The 19161-nt window shown below is 40.3% G+C and overlaps 1 long non-coding RNA gene across 2 annotated transcripts in view; it reads right to left on the reverse strand.

Moving 5' to 3' along the window:
• The window catches only part of LOC105379003 (uncharacterized), a 92996-nt gene that overhangs the window by 68135 nt on the left and 5700 nt on the right, over positions 1-19161 (reverse strand). The window contains exon 2 of one of the 2 annotated variants that reach the window (XR_001742683.2): positions 10737-10906. The exons of the other annotated variant lie outside the window; for it this stretch is intronic. This is a non-coding gene — a long non-coding RNA (uncharacterized LOC105379003). The remainder of the gene's footprint in view (positions 1-10736; positions 10907-19161) is intronic. 2 annotated transcript variants of the gene reach the window in all.

The raw sequence follows: 19161 nt of genomic DNA on the forward strand, positions 1-19161 counted from the left end.
TAGCCATAAGAATAAGTATTGATGTATGCTACAGTGAGGATCAACCTTGAAAATATTAAACTAAGTGAAAGAAACCAGGCACAAAAGGCCACATATTGTATGATTCTATTTATTTGAAATGTCTGGAAGAGGCAAATCCATAGAGACAAAACACAGATTGATAGCTTCCAGGGACTGGGGAGAGGAAGAGAATGAGGAGTGACTGCTAATTGGTATAGGGTTTCTTTTGATGATCATTAAAATATTCTGGAATTAGATAGTGGTAATGGTTGCACAACTTTGTAAATAATATACTAAAAACTAATGAACTATACACTTTAAAAGGGCAAATTTTATGGTATTTGAATTATATAATATCTCAGTAAAAAAGAATGAATTAGATTTAGTTGTCTGAAATTGAGAGATGTCTCTGGTCCATTGTAGGGTTAAGGAACAAGTTGTGGAACAGTATACAGCCTATTCTTACAACATAACAAAACAAACTATATCAGTCATGGTCCAACCAGAAAAATAGAAAGCCCTTTAAATATTTAAAACAGAGGAAATTGAATTCAGGGAATTGATTGAAAAGGTAAAAGGTACCCTACAAACTTAAGAGATAATATTATCAGAGCCCAGATGCTGAGGCCACTTATTGTGAGCAGGAACCACAGAGGGTCTTTCCAATGGGAGCTGAAGCCATAGAAAAATTGCAGCTACCACCAGAGATGCCACAACAACCAGGGTGACGGGGAGAAAGGCTTTTGGCTTCTCTCTTCCTCCCACCCTCCAGTCTTACCCTATCACCTTGCCCCTGCCTCCCCGCCACACACACACACACACACACACACACATTGTTCATATCTACTTGGAAGCCAGAGGGAAAGAGAACCTGAGAAACAGTTCCCAGAATAGAGAAAATGTGGACCAAAGCATGGATATAAAAACAAACAGGCAGTTTCCCTACATGATCAACCCCTTTTGCAACCTGGCATTTATTCTTATTTGCCTAGCGAGGCATTTGTCATACAAATCAAACTGTTCTCACTCTCTCCCAACAAGGGGAGACCCAAGGTCCCACTGGTTGTCATATCCATTTCAAGTGCATGATTTCCAACTGAAATTATCCTTCCCAAAGGTCTGGATGCTGCTTCTCCTAGTCTAGATGCCTATTGACTTAGTTGAAAAGTTAAATATCACCAACAATCATCATTTTAAAAAAAGGGAAAAGGAAAGTAAAAGGAAATAATTGAATAATATAAACCTAACAAAAATATTTATAGCTGCTAGGGTCCTCATTTCTGTCATTGGTCATGAGACAACAGTTAATTTTTATAACTTCCTCTTTCTATCACCCATTCTCTGCCACCTTGCCCTTACTCAGCACACCACCTGGTTGGGGTCCTTGACCTGCTGGGGCAACTGAAAACACAATTCCTAAAGACTCTGAGTCTTTAGTGGCCATGCCTTTGTTGGATTGTTGTAGTCTTCTATTGATCTTTACTTGGAAGTAATAAGAGGCATCTCAGCATATCTTCTGGCTCCAATGATGGCCTCTTTACCTCCATTGTGTAGTAACAACCCAATTTCCCCCTTGTTAATTTAAATCGATTTCATTTTCTGTGTTTTGGTGCAGTGACATGAGGAAATCCAAATAGCTAGATGGCGGTTTCCCCTTCTACTTCCTGTCAAAGCAGTCCTCACCTGGAGACAACTCCAAGATTGCAGGAATAGGAAGCAAATCTCTAAGAATAGGTATAATAGTTAATGGGGTCGATTCTTATTCCTTGGTTCCCAGACTCATGTGTTCTGGCTACAGAAGAAAGAGCACCAACAGTTTGTTGCAGTTAAAAGCATATATTGCATTCTATAGCTTGGTACCAAACCTCACACTTTAACTGAGTCTGCAGTGAGCCATTCCATCAGGCCAGCTGCTTCTGGACAATTGAGGAATATGGTAAGGCTGGTAAATTCCATGAGTGTGAAGCCATTGCTGTACTTCCTTCAGTATAAAATGTATTACTTGCTCAGAATGTTATGTGAGATACCATGATGATAAATGAAGAACTCCTTAAGACAGTTCCCTAAGAACTCCATGGACAGTGGTGCTGACAGAAGAATGCAGAGCTCATTATACCAGGGAAGTTTTGGCATCCTGATGTAACTGAGTGTAGGCAGTTGAATCCAAGTTTCAGTCAACCAATCAAGAAAACTGCAGAAACTGTTTCCAGCTGCATGAGCTAGAACATTGTCTGGAATCTTGAGTAAGTGAATCCTTATTGATAAATTCAGCCTCGTCTCATGTTATTTTCTATTCTTGGACTCTCATCCTTACAATTTACTTGCACAGCTGTTCTCCAGGTTCCTGCTCATAAGAATTAGCATGATCTTACATTTCCTTTGGTGCATAAAATATTTTTTCCCAGAACGGATGTTGTTGTCCTCCCCTGAGAGTACAGTGGTGTCTAATTCTATTTATGCATCCAGAGCAATGAGAACTCACAGGAGTAGGTCTGGAGGAGAATAATATCCCATGGCAGGAAGCTGCCTGAGATATGATCATTACATTAGAGACTTTAAGTAAGGGAAGGCTAGCTTCCACAGACAGGAGAAGCTGGTCTGGCTCCACAGAAAGGGGGCCCAGAGGGATTTGTCAGTTCAAGCTTCTAAGCATTGGCAAACTACCCAAATGTCCTCTCAAGACTCGGGATCCCATGTCTTCTCAACTAATGGCCTAACATTAGCCTATGAGATGTGGCTAGATTTTGTGTTAGTTTACATTGTAACTTGCAACGTGCACAATCAGATTTTGGGCCAAATCTTCAGCTGTCCACTCAGTGGTTACTGGAAATAGATTATTTTAAGGATGCTAAAGAAACCCTTTGGTTCTGTAACTGTGCCTGAGCTGATAGTTTCTTTTCTGTAAGTGTTTGGCACCTTTAGAAGCAGGAGCCACCCAATAGCTTATACCTATTGAGTGAACGAGTTACAGTTGTTATTTAATGACAAAGACATGCTCTGAGAAATGCGTCCTTAGGTGTACTTTCACAGACTTAGGTGGTATGGCCAACTGCTCCGACCACCATGGTATATGAGGTCTGTTGTTGACGGAAACATTGTTATGTGGTGCATGACTGTATTTGATCTTCCAAAGCCCTGTCTTAACTGGCACATTATCCCAAGCAACATTTAGGTGACAATTTAAGTAAATGTGTTGCCACTGCCTGCCACATTTTACTTCCATTTGCAAGGATAATCACAATATTTATGCTCTACCAGGTGAGCAACCCAAACCAGAATTTGTCTCTTCCTCCACCTTCCCCTCTTCCTCCCTCCTCTCTCCTCCTCCTCCTCCTTCTTCCTCCTCCTCCTCCTCTTCTCTTTCTTCCTCTTCCTCCTCTTCTTTCAATAGTTTTTGGGGGAACAGGTGGTGTTTGGTTACATGGATAAGTTCTTTAGGTGTGATTTCTGAGACTTTGGTGCACCCATCACTCAAGCAGTGTACGCTGCACCCTGTGTATTATTTTATGCTTCACCCCCTCCCACCCTTCCTCCCAAGTCTCCAGAGTCCATTATATCATTCTTATGCCTTTGCATCCTCATAGCTTATGAGAATATACGATGTTTGGTTTTCCATTCCTCAGTTACTGCACTTAGGATAATGGTCTCCAACTCCATCCAGGTTGATGTGGATGCCATTATTTCATTTCTTTTTATGTCTGAGTAGTATCCCACAGTGTGTGTGTGTGTGTGTGTGTGTGTGTGTGTGTGTGTGTGTGTGTATGATATATATCACGTTTTCTTTATCCACTCGTTGTTTGATGAGCATTTGGGCTGGTTCCCTATTTTTGCAATTGTGAATTGTGCTGCTATAAGCATGCATGTACAAGTGTTTTTTTCATATAATGACTTATTTTCCTCTGGATAGATACCCAGTAGTGTGATTGCTGGATCAAATGGTATAAATAGTTCTACTTTTAGTTCTTTAAGGAATCTCCATACTATTTTCCATTGTGGTTGTACTGGTTTACATTCCCACCAGCAGTGTAAGAATGTTCCCTTTTCACCACATCCACATCAACATCTACTTTTTTTTTAATTTTTAAATTATGGCCATTCTTGCAGGAGTAAGGTGGTGTCACATTGTAGTTTTGATTTGCATTTCCCTGATAATTAGTGATGTTGACTATTTTTTCATATGTTTGCTAGGCCATTTATATATCTTCTTTTGAAAGTTGTTTATTCATGTCCTTAGCCCACTTTTTGATGGGATTATTTGTTTTTTTTCTTGCTGATTTGTTTGAGTTCCTTGTAGATTCTGGACATTAGTCCTTTGTTGGATGTATAGATTGCAAAGATTTTCTCCCACTTCCTGGGTTGCCTGTTTACTCTGCTGATTATTTCTTTTGCTGTGTAGAAGCTTTTTGGTTAAATTAAGTCCCATCTATTTACCTTTGTTTTTGTTGCATTTGCTTTTGGGTTCTTAGTCATGAACTCTTTGCCTAGGCCAATGTCTACAAGAGTTTTTCCAATGCTATCTTCTATAATAGAATTTTTATGGTTTCAGGTCTTAGATTTCTAAGTCTTTGATCCATCTTGAGTTGATTTTTGTATAAGGTGAGAGATGAGGATCCAGTTTCATTCTTTTACATGTGGTGTGCCAATTATCCCAGCACCATTTGTTGAATGGGGTGTCCTTTCCCCACTTTATGTTTTTGTTTGCTTTGGTCAGAGATCAGTTGGCTGTATTTGGCTTTATTTCTGGGTTCTGTATTCTGTTCCATTGGTCTATGTGCATGTTTTTATACCAGTTCCACGCTGTTTTGCCAACTATAGGCTTGTAATATAGTTTGAGGGTAGGTAATGTGATGTCTCCAGATTTGCTCTTTTTGCTTAGTCTTGCTTCAGCTATGCAGGCTCTTTTTTGTTCCATATAAATTTTAGAATTTTTTTTTAGTTCTGTGAAAAATTATGGTGATATTTTGATGAGAATTGCATTACATTTATAGATTGCTTTTGACAGTATGGTCATTTTCACAATATTGATTCTACCCATCCGTGAGCATAAGATGTGTTTCCATTTGTTTGTGTCATCTATGATTTCTTTCAGCAGTGTTTCGTAGATTTGCTTGTAAGAATTTTTCACTTCTTTGGTTAGGTATGTTCCTAATATTTTATTTTATTTTTTTGCAGCTGTTGTAAAAGAGATTGAGTTCTTGATTTGATTCTCAGCCTGATTGCTGTTGGTGTATAGCAGTACTACTGATTTGTGTATATTGATTTTGTATCCTGAAACTTTACTGAAGAATTTGTTTCTTAGTTGAGAATCTGGTTCTTAAAACTTGTGCAAGAACTATATCATCCAGCAAAATAGAAACTTTTCTGGTGTTTAAAACAAAATGAATCTGCAACAAGGTGAATACATTTAACACTACTGAATTGTACACTTAGAAATGGTGAAGATGGTAAATTTTATGTGATGTGTTTTTTAACCACAATTTAGAAAAACAGTGTGAGTCTAGTATAGAGAATTGGTTTCATTCATGAGTAGGAAGTGAAAGAAGCAAATAGGAGAGAAACCATCCAGTGATCAGCAGGAAGCCACTCCTGCCCCTCTGCTGGAGGGACAGAGGGAGGGGATCATGTTTCTGGACCTTCAAATCAAGGTCATCCTCTGGGAGATGGAACCTGGTGGGCCTGTCCTATGGGTTCTGAAGCTGAGGAGGAGGTGCCAGAGAAAGCAGAGAGAGGCTCTTCCTCCCTCCTACCCTCCAATCTTGTGTCAGTGCCTTCCATTGGCAGAGGTGGCCAAGAGCCCATACAAAAGCAGAGCAGGAGAAGGGCAACCAGTTACTTGACGTGTGTGTTAATCTCTTTGTAGAGAGATGTAAATGCACAGAAATAGTCTCCAACAGCAAACTGATAAAAAATAATACACATCATATTCACTAACAATAGTATATTACTAGCCACTGCAGAGACAACCTATAGTCCCTGCCCACAAGAAAATTATCATTTGGGTTCGGGGTTGAAGGAGGAAACGGAGTTATGAAAAAATATAATACAAATAGGTTTTTGAGGTATATACAATATTGAAAGAGCACAGTGAAGAGAACTGTGTTTTCTTGGGGGCCAGGGGTCATCAATGAACACATCATGGAGTGAGTAAAGTCTGACTGGGCTTTAAGGCCTGAGTAAGAAGTTTCCAGGCAGAAAAGGGGAGGAGATATATTCCAGGCAAAGGAATCATCGTGTGCAACTAAACAGTTGTATAAAGATTGATTTGAGTTATTATTGACTAGTTATTCTAAGTATGAGGTTCTATCTGTGATTAAATACATTGTATTAATTTGATCAGATTTCTTTTTTTATTTTGGAATTATCTTTTGTTCTCAAGTCTCAGACATTTTCAGAGGTCCTTAAAAATCCAGTGGACTGTAGCACTAAGCCTGTGGTGTCTAATGTTTAAAACAATCCTAACTGGCCCCAAAGAGAGGAAGCTATAACCATGTCAACAGGCTGTTCCATTCTTCTGTGCCAGGACATGTGAGAGCTCAGTACCTAAGAGGGCATACAAAAGGCCATCTTCCTGCCTCTGCTGATCTCCCACAGACTCCTCTGTAGCACATCTCAGGCCCTTTTCAGGTGGCACACATAGAGCAGAAGCCTCAGGAACTATGCCTTTTTATTTTGGAAGAGAGGATGGTCAGCAACCAAAAATGACAGCTAAGCAGTAAACTGATCCCATGAGTGACCCCTTCACTTCTCCACCTGCACATTGGAAAGCTCCAGGCAACTGCTGGTGATATCAAGGGTAAAGTGGGGAGTAAAGTGTCCTAGCCCTTCCATTCACAAGTTAACACATGCACACACTCCCAAATAATGTTTTATCCAATCTGTGTGTTATGGACTGAATCATGTCACCTCCAAATTTATATGTTGAAGTCTTAACCTATAATGTGACTACATTTGAAGATAGGGCCTATAAGGAAGTAATAAAGGTTAAGTCATAATGGTGGGTCCTTAATGTGATAAACTGGTTCCTTACAAGAAGGGGAAGAGACACCAGATCTCTAAACCTCTTCCCCATACCAGCATAAAGAAGACACCATATGAGGGCACAGTGAGAAGGTGGCTGACTACAAGCCAAGAAGCAAGCCCTTGCCAGAAATCAACCCTGCCAGCAGCACTGCCCAGTCAGTGGTGGTTGTTATGGCAGCCTGAGCTGACTAATACACTGTTCTTTAGATTTAAATGATGTATTCCAAATTACATATAAAGTCCAAAGGGTGTTAGGAAATTGGAAGTTGGGTTTGTAAGCCTTGCAACCTATTATAGTCTCTCTAGTTTCCAGGGATGATCATGAGACAGAAAATATAAAAAATAAAACAAAACAAAAAAGACAAATAATTGTAAATGAAAATCACAAAACTCATAGGAATCAAATGCTAAAAAAAGAGTACAGTGAACAATTAGGAAAAAATTCACTTAAAAATTAATTTTATAAAACAATCTTACAAAGTATTTATAATAATGCTTAAAATATTCAAAGAGCTAAATTTAAAAATAATCCATAATAAAACATAAAACTTTGAAACAGCAACAACAAAGGAGAAATGAAACAATAAGTGAATATGAGAAAAGATTAAATTAGAATATTGGAAATAAAAAAATGTGATAATTGAAAATTTAAAAACCCAACAGATAAGATAAAACTTTAGGCTGGTCACAGTCAAAGATGAAATTAATGGATTTGAATGTAGTATTGAAGAATTCATCAGGATGCAACATAGAGATTGAAGAGAATCTTTTTACAAACGTGAAAGCACATTTGGGGGACAAAATAGATAAATAAGAAACCGTAACAGATATCTAAATAGGGTTTCCAGAAGAAGAAGGGAATAACGAAGAGCAATCTTTGAAAATATAATAGCTGAGGATATTCCTGAATTGAAGAAAAACATGGTTTCGATTGAAAGTGCACCTGAGAAACAAATAGGATAAATAAAAGTAAGCCAACACTGAGACACATTATGGTGAAACTAAAAAATACCAAGGATAAAGCCAAAAATGCACTTACAAGTGATCAGAAAAAAAAGACACTTTATCTACAAAGAGAAACCAGTAAGACTGACAGCAGACTTCTCATCAGCAACAATATATGCCAGAAGACAGTAGATTAATTTCCTGAAAGCACGGGGAGGAATTAATAGTCAACATAATATTTTGCAGTCATTTAAACTATTATTCAAGAGTGAGCGAAAAATAATAAAATTGTTAGAGATGCCACATCTAAAAGACTTTACCATTCTCAGAAATAAATCATTACTTTTCTTTTTTGAGACATGATCTCACTGTCATTCAGGCTAGAGTGCAGTGGCATGATCTATAGCTCACTGTAGCCTTGATCTCCCAGGCTCAAGTGATCCTCCCCTCTCAGCCTCCCCAGTAGCTGGGACTATAGGCACGTACTACCAGGCCTAGCTAATTTTTTTGATTTTTTAGTAGAGATGAGGTCTTGCTATATTGCCCAGGCTGGTCTTGAACTCCTGAGCTCAAGCAATCCTACCTCCTCAGCTTCCCAAAGTGCTGAGATTACAGGCATGAGCCAATGTACCCTGCTTAAAAAAAAATCTTCTTTAGGATGAAAGCAAGCCCAGAGAAAAGGCTGAATTACAGTAAACAATTTTGTGCATACAAATAAATAAGTCTATTTTAGAAAATTGTTTTTTAAAACAAATTTTTATTTTTTTATTTCAATAAGTTTTTGGGGGAACAGGTGGTATTTGGTTACATTAATAAGTTATTTAGTGGTGATTTCTGAGATGTTGGTGCACCCATCACCCAAGCAGTGTACACAGTACCCAATGTGTAGTCTTTTATCCCTTGCCAACCCCCACCCTTTCCCCCGAGTCTCCAAAGTCCAAAGTATATGTATCATTCTTTGCCTTTGTGTCTCATAGCTTAGCTCCCACACATGAGTAAGAACATACAATGTTTGGTTTTCCATTCCTGAGTTATTTCACCTAGAATAATAGTCTCCAGTTCCATCCAAGTTGCTGTGAATGTCATTATTTCATTCCTTTTTATGGCTGAGTAGTATTCCATGGTAATATATATACCACATTTTCTTTATCCACTGGGCATTTGGGCTGGTTCCATAGTTTTGCAATTGCAAATTTGTATGTGCACAATTGTTTCTTGTAGCTATTTATTTATTTTTATGCACACAATTTATTACCACTGGGACGGTTCTTTCATAAAAAGATGGTTCTTTCTTTAAAAAAGTTGGTAAATTTAACAGTTTGTTTAAAAATAATTAAAATTTTTTGTGTGTGTTGAAAATTTGAGGGTTAAAAAAGGATAAATAACCAGATGGGGAAAGGGGGTGGTCATTGTTTAGTTAAAATGTGCTAAGTCCTTTTCATGTTCTAGAGGAGGATAGAAATAATGAACAAATTTAGACTTTGTGAGAAAGTTTATGGCTAAATGTTTATGTGAAAAATTTAAAGATAACTGCCAAAGAAGATAAACAGTTTATAGATGGCAAGCCAGCAGAGGCAGGGAAAGCAGAAATATAGAAAAATGTTATCAATCCAACAGAAGGCAGTAAAAGGGATAGGAAATAAAGATAAAGGATGGTAAGCAGAAACACAAAATGTAGTGGCAAAAATAACTCCAACTCTATCAGTGACCAGAATAAATGTAAGGAGATTAAATTCGCCTATTAAAAGATAGATTATCTGATTGGATTTTTAAAAGAGAAAGACAAGTTATATGCTGCACACAAAAGCTGCACTTAAAGACTGAAAAGAAAGCATGGGAAAAGATATGGCAGGCAGAAACTATGCAGAAGAAAGCTGGGATTTCAAACTAACTTGAATTTAAGGTGGAAAGCAGATGATTCTAAAATCTCAGATTTTCTCTTTCATTTTTCTTGAGGATTCCACAATGATCTACTGCATATCTATTCAGGGTCTCACAGTTATCTCCAACTCAGTTTTGCAAAACTGACATCATTTTCCTTTCTAGGCTGTCTCTGAAGCAGTTACTGGCCCTACTCTTCACACAGCTGCCCAGTTACCTTTGGTCCCCAAGCCTGTCACTTTTCTCATTTGGTCTTGCATTGAGTATTAGGGCAACCAAAACATAGACTGTATTTCTCACCAGGGCCCAGAGGCTTCCTGGAAAAGGCATGAACACTTACCTTTGAGGAGAGTGCCCCACGGGAGTGCCAAGAGCAGAGGCAGGCTCCCTGCAGGCGGATGCAGTCAGCAGCAAAGAAATTGGGACTGAACTTTCCTGTCAAAATTGGGTCCTGTCACCCCTGTCTTCTTTCTCTGATCCAGCTCTACCCAAGAAGGAGCAGAGTGGAGCAGCAATGCTGGCAACGCCAACAGCAGAAAAGAAAGCACTCTGCTGAGTGGTGAGAAGTGGCTTAAGGGGGACAGAGGCTGGGAGAACAGCGAGTGCTGTAAGGGTAGTGGGTGGGTGGTAGGGAGGGAAACTGCTGGATACAGACCCACCACTGTCAGTGTGTCAAATCCTAGCCCATCTGCATGCCTGCCTCAGAGAAGACAGGAAGGGGGAAGCGGGGGCAGGAAGTGTGGAAGCCTCAGAATATTTTGGCCCTGCTTGTATTTGACTATGTCAGTTCCAAAATGTTCACCTCAATCTGGCAGACGACAGTGCCTTTTACAGCAACACAAATCAAATATTCTATTGGGTCGATGCAGAGCAGTCATTAAGCGACCCACCTCGGGGAACTGGATGCATCATTGTCGTCAAACTGGTACTTTGCTGTCAAGCAGGCACACGTCCGACCGCTAAGGCATGGTTATTTCATGACCCAGACTCGACCACGGGGACAGTAGCTGCAGCGCCCTTGTAAACCCCAGCCTTCGTTCTGCATAGATCAGCACTCTGCCTTAATTGAATTACGTAAATATTTATTTTTTAAAATGCAACAATGAGGCAATTGCTTAAACAGAATACATGCATTTTTGGTGGCTCTTTCTCTTCTGTACTTAAGGGGTCAAAGGCAAGGCAACCCTCAAATAGTTTGCAATTCTGGGAGTGGCCAGAACATAGAAAATTGTCTGAAGAGCAAGAAGGAAGCCCCTCACTTTGACAGGCCTATGGGATTCCCCCAGGGGCTTAATTACTCTGCTGTCATGATCCTCTGTTGCTGGCCAGAGACTGAGGCATGGAAAGATGCTTGCACAGTTCGAACACACGCCTTCCCATCCTGGCCCTCGTTTGAAGGGGAAGCAGCTAGGGCCCTGGGCCCCAGGAAGACCAGAGGAGGTAATGGCCCCACCTCCTCCAAGCCCCCAGTGGTGGGCCACTGAGGCCTGCCCATCTGCCACACTGCCTTGGTTTTAATGAAAACTGTCCATGTGCTGCTACTCACTCCTAATTATCTGTGCTCTGGCCTGGCTGGCTGACATGTTTATTTTGTGGCTGCCAGACTGGTGGAGATGGTTCTTTCATAAAGAATCACACCGCTTTCAAGTTGAGTTTTCTTTCTGCCCATCATTTGTTTTTGCAAACATTTCAGGATTAATTGAACACTGTTCCCCCTTCCAACCAAAACACATGCTCGCCTTCCCTGCACAATATGGCGATCTTGGCATTTGATCATCTCTGCACACTTTCATTTCTGAGTCCCCAGTGCTGACAAAAGACCAGTCTCAAGTAACCCCAGGCCGCTGTATGGGAGAAAATTGAGTTTCATTTCAGATTAGCCTCTTCAGTTTCTGTCTCTGAAAAGCTCATTTTCTATAAATCTAAGTTTGGATATCTTCAGGCTCACCTTGAGCATGCAGCTGCATATCTTTTGCTCGTCTTTTTAATTATCACTATGGGTTTGGAAGTTTCTACAATATGTCATGTTTTGAGTAAGGGAAGAAGGAAGAAAGGAGTTAGCTCTGGGCAGACATTAGAAAGTGTCAAATAAAAATCGTTCTTCTCTAACATAATTTCACTATTAAGACGCCACGGAAAAAAAGTAGCTAGGGATTAAAATGACTGTCTCCTTCATTTCTACTGTTGCACACCTCATTTTGTAAAACAAAACAAAACCAAAAAACTTTCTATCAACCCCATTATCACCCACTCTCTCTTTTTAGTGTTGCTTAATCCCAGTTGCACAGAAGAAACACCTGGGTGTTTTAAAATGTACCAATGTGTGGTAGGCAGAATAATGGCCTTCCAAAGATGTTCCCATCCTGACCTCCAGGATCCGCTGCCTTCCAAGTGATTAAGTTAAGGATCTTAGGTGGGAAGACTATCCTGGATTATCCAGGTGGGCTCCAAAAGTAATCATAAGTGTTCTTAAAAATAGAAAAAGGAGGCAGAGGAAGAGAGTCAGAGTGAGATGTTACCATGGAAAAAAGGCACAGAGAGATGCAACTTTGTTGCCTTTGAAGATGGAAGAAGGAAGTCTTTGGAGGCTTGAAAGCGCAAAGAGGCCAGGCACAGTGGCTCATGCCTGTAATCCCAGCACTTTGGGAGACAGAGGTGGGAGGGTCACTTGAGGCCAGGAGTTCAAGACCAGCCTGGGCCACAGACTGAGACCCCATCTCTACAAAAAATAAAAACATTACTTGGGTGTGGTGGCATGCACCTGTAGTCACAGCTACTCGAGAGGCTGAGGTGGGAGGATGGGAGGATTGCTTAAGGGTAGGAGATTGAGGCTGCAGTGAGCCGTGATCATGTTACTACACTCCACCAGCTTGGGTGATGGAGTGAGACCGTGTCTAAAAAACAAAAAAGGCAAGGAAACAGATTCTTAGAGTCTCTGGAAGGGTCTGTAGCCCTCTGACACACTGAATTTAGCCCAGTGAGACCTGTGTTGAACTTGTGACCTATAGAATTAGAAGATAATAAAATTGCATTGTTCTAAGCCGCTAAGTTTGTGGTAATTCATTTGCAGCAACCATGGGAAACTGATATTGTGTACATTTTCTCTAGACTACCTAAACCCAAATTCTGTGAGGTGGAGCTGAGGCATTAATAAGGGTTCAAAGCTCTGCAGGTGATTCTCTTGTGCAGCAGGACTGGCACCGCTGGGTTGCACTGTTTCCAGGTCCTCACTCCTCCCTGCTCCTCAGCCCCTTACAATCTGCTGCTGGGCTCCCAAACGCCTCCGAAGCTCTTCTCACACACCAGTTGCCTCCTTGCTGACAAATCCCCTGGACACTTCTCCCTTCTTACTTTACTTAACACTGGACACTTGACCATTTCCCCATCCTGAAGCAGTCCCCTGTTTCAGCTTCCCAGACATCACACATCTACTGTTTCCTTTGCCTCTCCTGTCATCCTTGTGATTCTCTGGCTGCTGCCTTTCCTTGGACCAATCCTTAAGTGTCGATGCTGGGAAGGCTGCACGTTAGGGTCTGTTCTCTTTTCACTCTCTATACTCTTCCCAGGATGTTTCATCTATCCCTTTGGCTTCTATGTACTGATGGATACCTACCCTAAATCTTTTGCTCTGATCTTTCCTGCCCTTCACAGCTATATATTCAACCATCTATCTCAAGCCCACTATGTCTAATGCTGAACCCATTTTCTCTACCATAATTTCCTTCCCCTGTCTATGATGTTGTTATCCATGTGGCAACTCAAGCCAGAAACCTGGAAAGCATCCTGTCTCCTTCCACTCCCTTGCCTGTTCCTCACTCAAATCTGATGAATCACTTCTCTCCATCCATTCACTACCATCTTGGTTCAAGCTACCTTCATCTCTACCTGAATTATTGCAAGAGCCAAAGCCATCACTCAAAGACAAAAATGCCATGACTCTGTGTAAAATACTTTAACATCTCTCTCATTCCAAGGAATGAACTCCAGCTTTTCACTTGTCTTCAAGATATAGTGGCACTTTGCTCCTATTTTCATGTCCAGTGGCACCTTCTCCCATGCTGGCCTCTATCCTCACCCCACCCTCTCTCCAAACTCTATCTCCAGGCCATTATGGACCACCATACTTTAGTCATCTGAATTCACTATGCTTCCTCTTACCTCAGGCTTTGTACATACCAGTCTCTCTTCCTAAACATATTCTTGTCCCACTCTGGGACTAGCTAAGTCATCCCAGGCATTGATCGCAACCTAGCTGCTGCCATGGACTTTTGTCATTTTTTTAGCTGCTTAGCATCCATTCATCCTTCCTTCAGTATCCTGATTTCCTTCTGGAGAATTAACCCTTTTTTCCTTTGTGTCCCCTTGCTTGGATGGTAAATACATGTGTCAGGCCCCTGTTGCAGAAGCTAAAGGGTGTAAACTTATTTCTCTCATGGCCCTGGTACAAGGAGGTAGATGAGCTGCGACCTAAGCTGGTCAATTAGATGCTTTCTTCCAGGACTTTGAATCTTGCACAAATAGTGCAAGGATGAATGAAATTGAAATCCCTCCATATTAGTGGCAGGGCTCTGACCAGAGTGTTCTGGCTCAGAGATACTCCCTGGGTTCCTGCTTCCTAACCCTTCAAAGCTGCTTTTCTTTCTGCCCTTTATAAGCCTGTTTCCCAGATTTTCTGTTTGTACTCAGTATCCTTACATTAAATTCTTTTATATATAAGTTAGAAAAACTTGGTTTCTCTTAGCTCTTTAACTGTATTTTCTCTGGCTTCGTAGCCTGGATTAAAAGCCTCTCCTATGGGCTTATCCTTCTTATGGTAGTTACTTTTTTTTTATTTTTATATTTTACGGAGACAGAGTCTCACTGTGTCACCCAGGCTGGAGTGCAATGGCGCGGTCTCAGCTCACTGCAACCTCTGCCTCCTGGGTTCAAGCAATTCTCCTACCTCAGCCTCCCCAGTAGCTGGGACTAGAGGCACACGCTGCCATGCCTGGCTAATTTTTTGTATTTTAGTAGGGACGGGGTTTCACCATGTTGCCCAGGCTGGTCTCAAACTCCTGAGCTCAGGCAATCCACCTGCCTCAGCCTCCCAAAGTGCTAGTATTACAGGCGTGAGCCACCACACCCGGCCCTCGTGGTAGATATTACAGTGTATTAAAATGGCACTTTACTTCTCTTTCTCTCCTACTAGACATAAGCTTTTTGAGAGCACGGATAATACCTTGTGTATTATTGTATACCCAATGCCAAGGACTGTGGCTGAGATATAGTAAGCATTCAACAAGCCTTTGAGAACAGTGTGAATGCAGTTTCATCCTTTGATGTGAACAGAATAAATGTGGAAAAGGCTCATAGTCTATTGGTCCCAATGTTTCCAAACAAGCTATTGCCAATTTATTTAAATGATTGCCAAAAGTTTTCATTAAGGCTTCCTCTGCCTATGGGCAAAGCATGTAGACAATTGTGCAAAGTGTAAAAGCAAACCAAATCAAACCCAAACTGAAAATATCAAAATAGAAACTTCCAGGAAAATGAGTAGACATACTTCCCCCTATTCCATCCCCTAAATGCAGCAAGACTTCCTGGACAATATATATAAAACAAACATACGAAGATTCTGAAAGATGGAGAGAAGAAGGCAGACCAATGAGGGACCTCAGAATTCATGCAGTGATGTGGTGGTGAGTTCCCTGAGTTTTCTTTTTGCTTCATATGTCTCAGACTCAGAGCTGAAGAAGCTAGCAACCTGGAAACACTAATGTACACTAATGTATAGACAGAAAGAACTCCAGCAAAAACCTGTTCTGTCTAGGCAAAGGACCAAAAAAGGGATAGCCTAGCAATAGCTGCCCTATTCCAGTCAAACACCATAGAAAACTATGGCCCCATCCCCACCAACACTAGAGAAGGATGAGTGGGGAGCTTAGGATGTTGAGAGGTACCCAACTTTACTCCTGCTGGGGTGCTGTCAGAGAAGGCTGAGTGGGGAGCCAGGACTTTCATCCCCAATGGGTGGTAACGAGCACCTTCTTTTCTCCACATGGTATTAGTGGGAACCACCCAGGGAGCCTGGACTTTCACCTCCACATGGCAATAACAAGGTGTGTATTTCCCCTTCCAGCTGGGGAGGATTTGTGAAGGCCTACTGGGGATGCAGAACTCCCATCCCACCTAACAATAATGAGTAGCTCCCTTCTCCAACCAAATGGAGCCTGTTTTGAGAACATAGACTTAAATGCCCACTTGGAATTAATAAAGTGATGCCCTTGTGTACCCTGCCAGAGTGGTGTCAGAGCAAGCCAACTAAAACAAGGCTTAAATAAGATCCCAAACCACAGTACATATTGTCTAAACTATCTAGGTTTGTTTGTTTGTTTGTTTGAGACGGAGTTTTGCTCTTGTTACCCAGGCTAAAGTACAATGGTGTGATCTCGGCTCACTGCAACCTCCGCTGCCAGGTTCAAGCGATTCTCCTGCCTCAGTCTCCCAAGTAGCTGGGATTACAGGCATGCACCACCACTTGCGGCTAATTTTGTATTTTTAGTAGAGATGGGGTTTTTCCATGTTGGTCAGGCTGGTCTTGAACTCCTGACCTCAGGTGATCCACCCGCCTCAGCCTCCCAAAGTGCTGGGATTACAGGCGTGAGCCACTGCAACCAGCCAAAATATCTAGGTTTTAATAGAAAAAAATAGATTTTTTTAAAATAGAAATTTTATTGAATTTATTAAAAATAGATTTTTAATAGATTCATTATCACAAGAACCAGTGAGCTCTAAAATAAAGAAACACAATCATCAAGATGACACAGTTGTTAGAATTATATGACAAAGATTTTAAAGGAGATATCATAAAAATGCCTCAATGATCAATTACAAATGCACATGAAACAAATGAAAAAACAAAACATCTCATCAAAGAAATATAAAACCTCAGCAAAGAAAGAGAAGCTATAAAGAAGAACTAAATGGAAATTTTAGAAGTGAAAAATATAATAACCAAAATGAAAAGCTCAGTTGATAGACTAAACAACAAAATAAAGACGAGAGAGGAGAGAGTCAGTGAATTGACAATCATAGGAATATCCAATTTTTAAGAATTGTGCAAAATAGATATACATAGTTTCAAGGTATAAGTGATGATATAATGCACTCATAATTTGTAAAGATAAAATCAGTGCACTTAGGATATCCATCTCCTTAAGTATTTGTCTTTTCTTTATATTAGAACCATTTAAATTTTTCTCTTGTAGCTATTTTGAAATATACAATAGACTAGTGTAAACTATAGTCATCCTCTTTAGGACAGACCTAAAGAAGCAAAGTAAAGACTTTGCTTTAGAAACTGAACTAATAATTACCATCCAAAGAAGGTGTATTAGTCCATTCTCACACTGCTATAAAGAACTATCCGAGACTGGGTAACTTCTGAAGAAAGGTTTGATTGACTCACAGTTCTGCAGGCTGCATAGGAAGCATGGCTGAGAGGCCTCAGGAAACTTATAATCATGGAGGAAGATGAAGGGGAAGCAAGCACATCTTACTGTGGTGGAGCAGGAGAGAGAGAGCTAAGGGGGAAGGACCCCACACTTATAAATCATCAGATTTCATGAGAACTTACTCACTATCATGAGAACAGCAAGGGGGAAATCTGCCCCCATGATCCAATCACCTCTCACCAGATCCCTCCCCCAACACTGGGAATTACAAGATTTGGGTGAGGACACAGAGCCAAACCACATCAGAAGGTGAGACAGTATTTGCAGTCTGAACCTAACCAGATTGATGACCTGCTAAAATAACAACAGCAGCAGCAAAATCAACACGCTACAAATGATTTTAACTGAAATGAAAAGTCTACACAACAAAACCTCACATTGTCAGGATGCAATCCCGAATTACTCAATAATCAAAGAACCCAGAAATGTGACCAATTCTCAAGGGAAAAAACAGTCAACAAATGCCAACCCATGTAAACCAGACATTCGATTTATCAGACAAAGACTTTGAAGTATGAGTATGTTCTAATGAGGGAACATAAGCATACCTGAAATGAGAGGAAAGATAGACATCCTCAGCAGAGAAAGAGAAACTATAAAAAGAGCAAAGTTGGACATTTTTAAACTGAAAAATACAATCTCTGAAATTAAAAATGCACTGGATTGGCTCAGTAATAAAATGGAGAGGATAGAAAAGTCAGTTAGTGGGAAGCTAAATCTGCAGAAATTATCCAATGTAAATGACAGAGGAAAAAAATTGTTCTCTTCAGTTGATTAAAATGTGTATGACTATTGAGAGGAAAAACTATAACATTGTTCGGTGGGATTTTCAACATATGCATATATAATACATATGTATATAATACATATGACAACTATGACATAAAGGTCAGCGCTGGAGGCTAAAAGGATCTGTGTGGTTTTAAGACACCTACATTTTACTTGATGTAAAATATTAATTCAAAATAGAGTGTGACAAGTCAGGCAGGTATGTTGTAATTCCCAGAGAAACCACTAAAAAAATAAGAATTCAGAGATATATCCAAAATGCCAATAAATGAATTAAAGTGAAATTTAAACTAAAACATTTAAATTAAACTAAACTCAAATAACCCCAAAGAAGGAAGGAATGAAGAAAAAGGGAAGCAAAAACAGATGACCTACACAGAAAACAAATAATAAAATGAAGACCTAATCAACCATATCAAAAATTAAATAAAGTATAAATTTAAGCACACCGAGAAATTCACTGTAAGTATAAAGGCATAAACTAAGAAGATAGTAAAAGATGCATCAAACAATAATAGAAGGCTGGAGTGGCTATATTAATATTAGACAAAGCAGACTTGAAAACAGGGAATATTACCAGCAGTAAAGGGGGGCATTAAATAATGAAAAAGGTATATAAGGACATCTAACACTTCTAAATATATATTCAGGAATTGTTGTATTAATAGTTTGATAAAAAAACAAGTTGATTATATATATATATTTTTTTTGAGACAGAGTCTCACTCTCTTACCCAGGCTGGACTGCAATGGCATGAACTTGGCTCACGGCAACATCCGCCTCCCAGATCCAAGACACTCTCCTGCCTCAGTCTTCCAAATAGCTGGGACTACAGGCGCCCACTACCATGCCTGGCTAATTTTTGTATTTTTAGTAGAGACAGGGTTTCACCATGTTGGCTAGGCTGGTCTCGAACTCTTGACCTCAAGTGATCCACCTGCCTGGACCTCCCAAAGTGTGGGATTACAGGTGTGAGCCACTGAGCCCAGTCTGATTAGAATTTTTAGCAGCTTATCTTGGCAATGTAGGCAGA

This window comes from Homo sapiens, chromosome 5, assembly GCF_000001405.40.
Source record: "Homo sapiens chromosome 5, GRCh38.p14 Primary Assembly".
In the NCBI taxonomy this organism is placed as follows: Eukaryota; Metazoa; Chordata; class Mammalia; order Primates; family Hominidae; genus Homo; species Homo sapiens.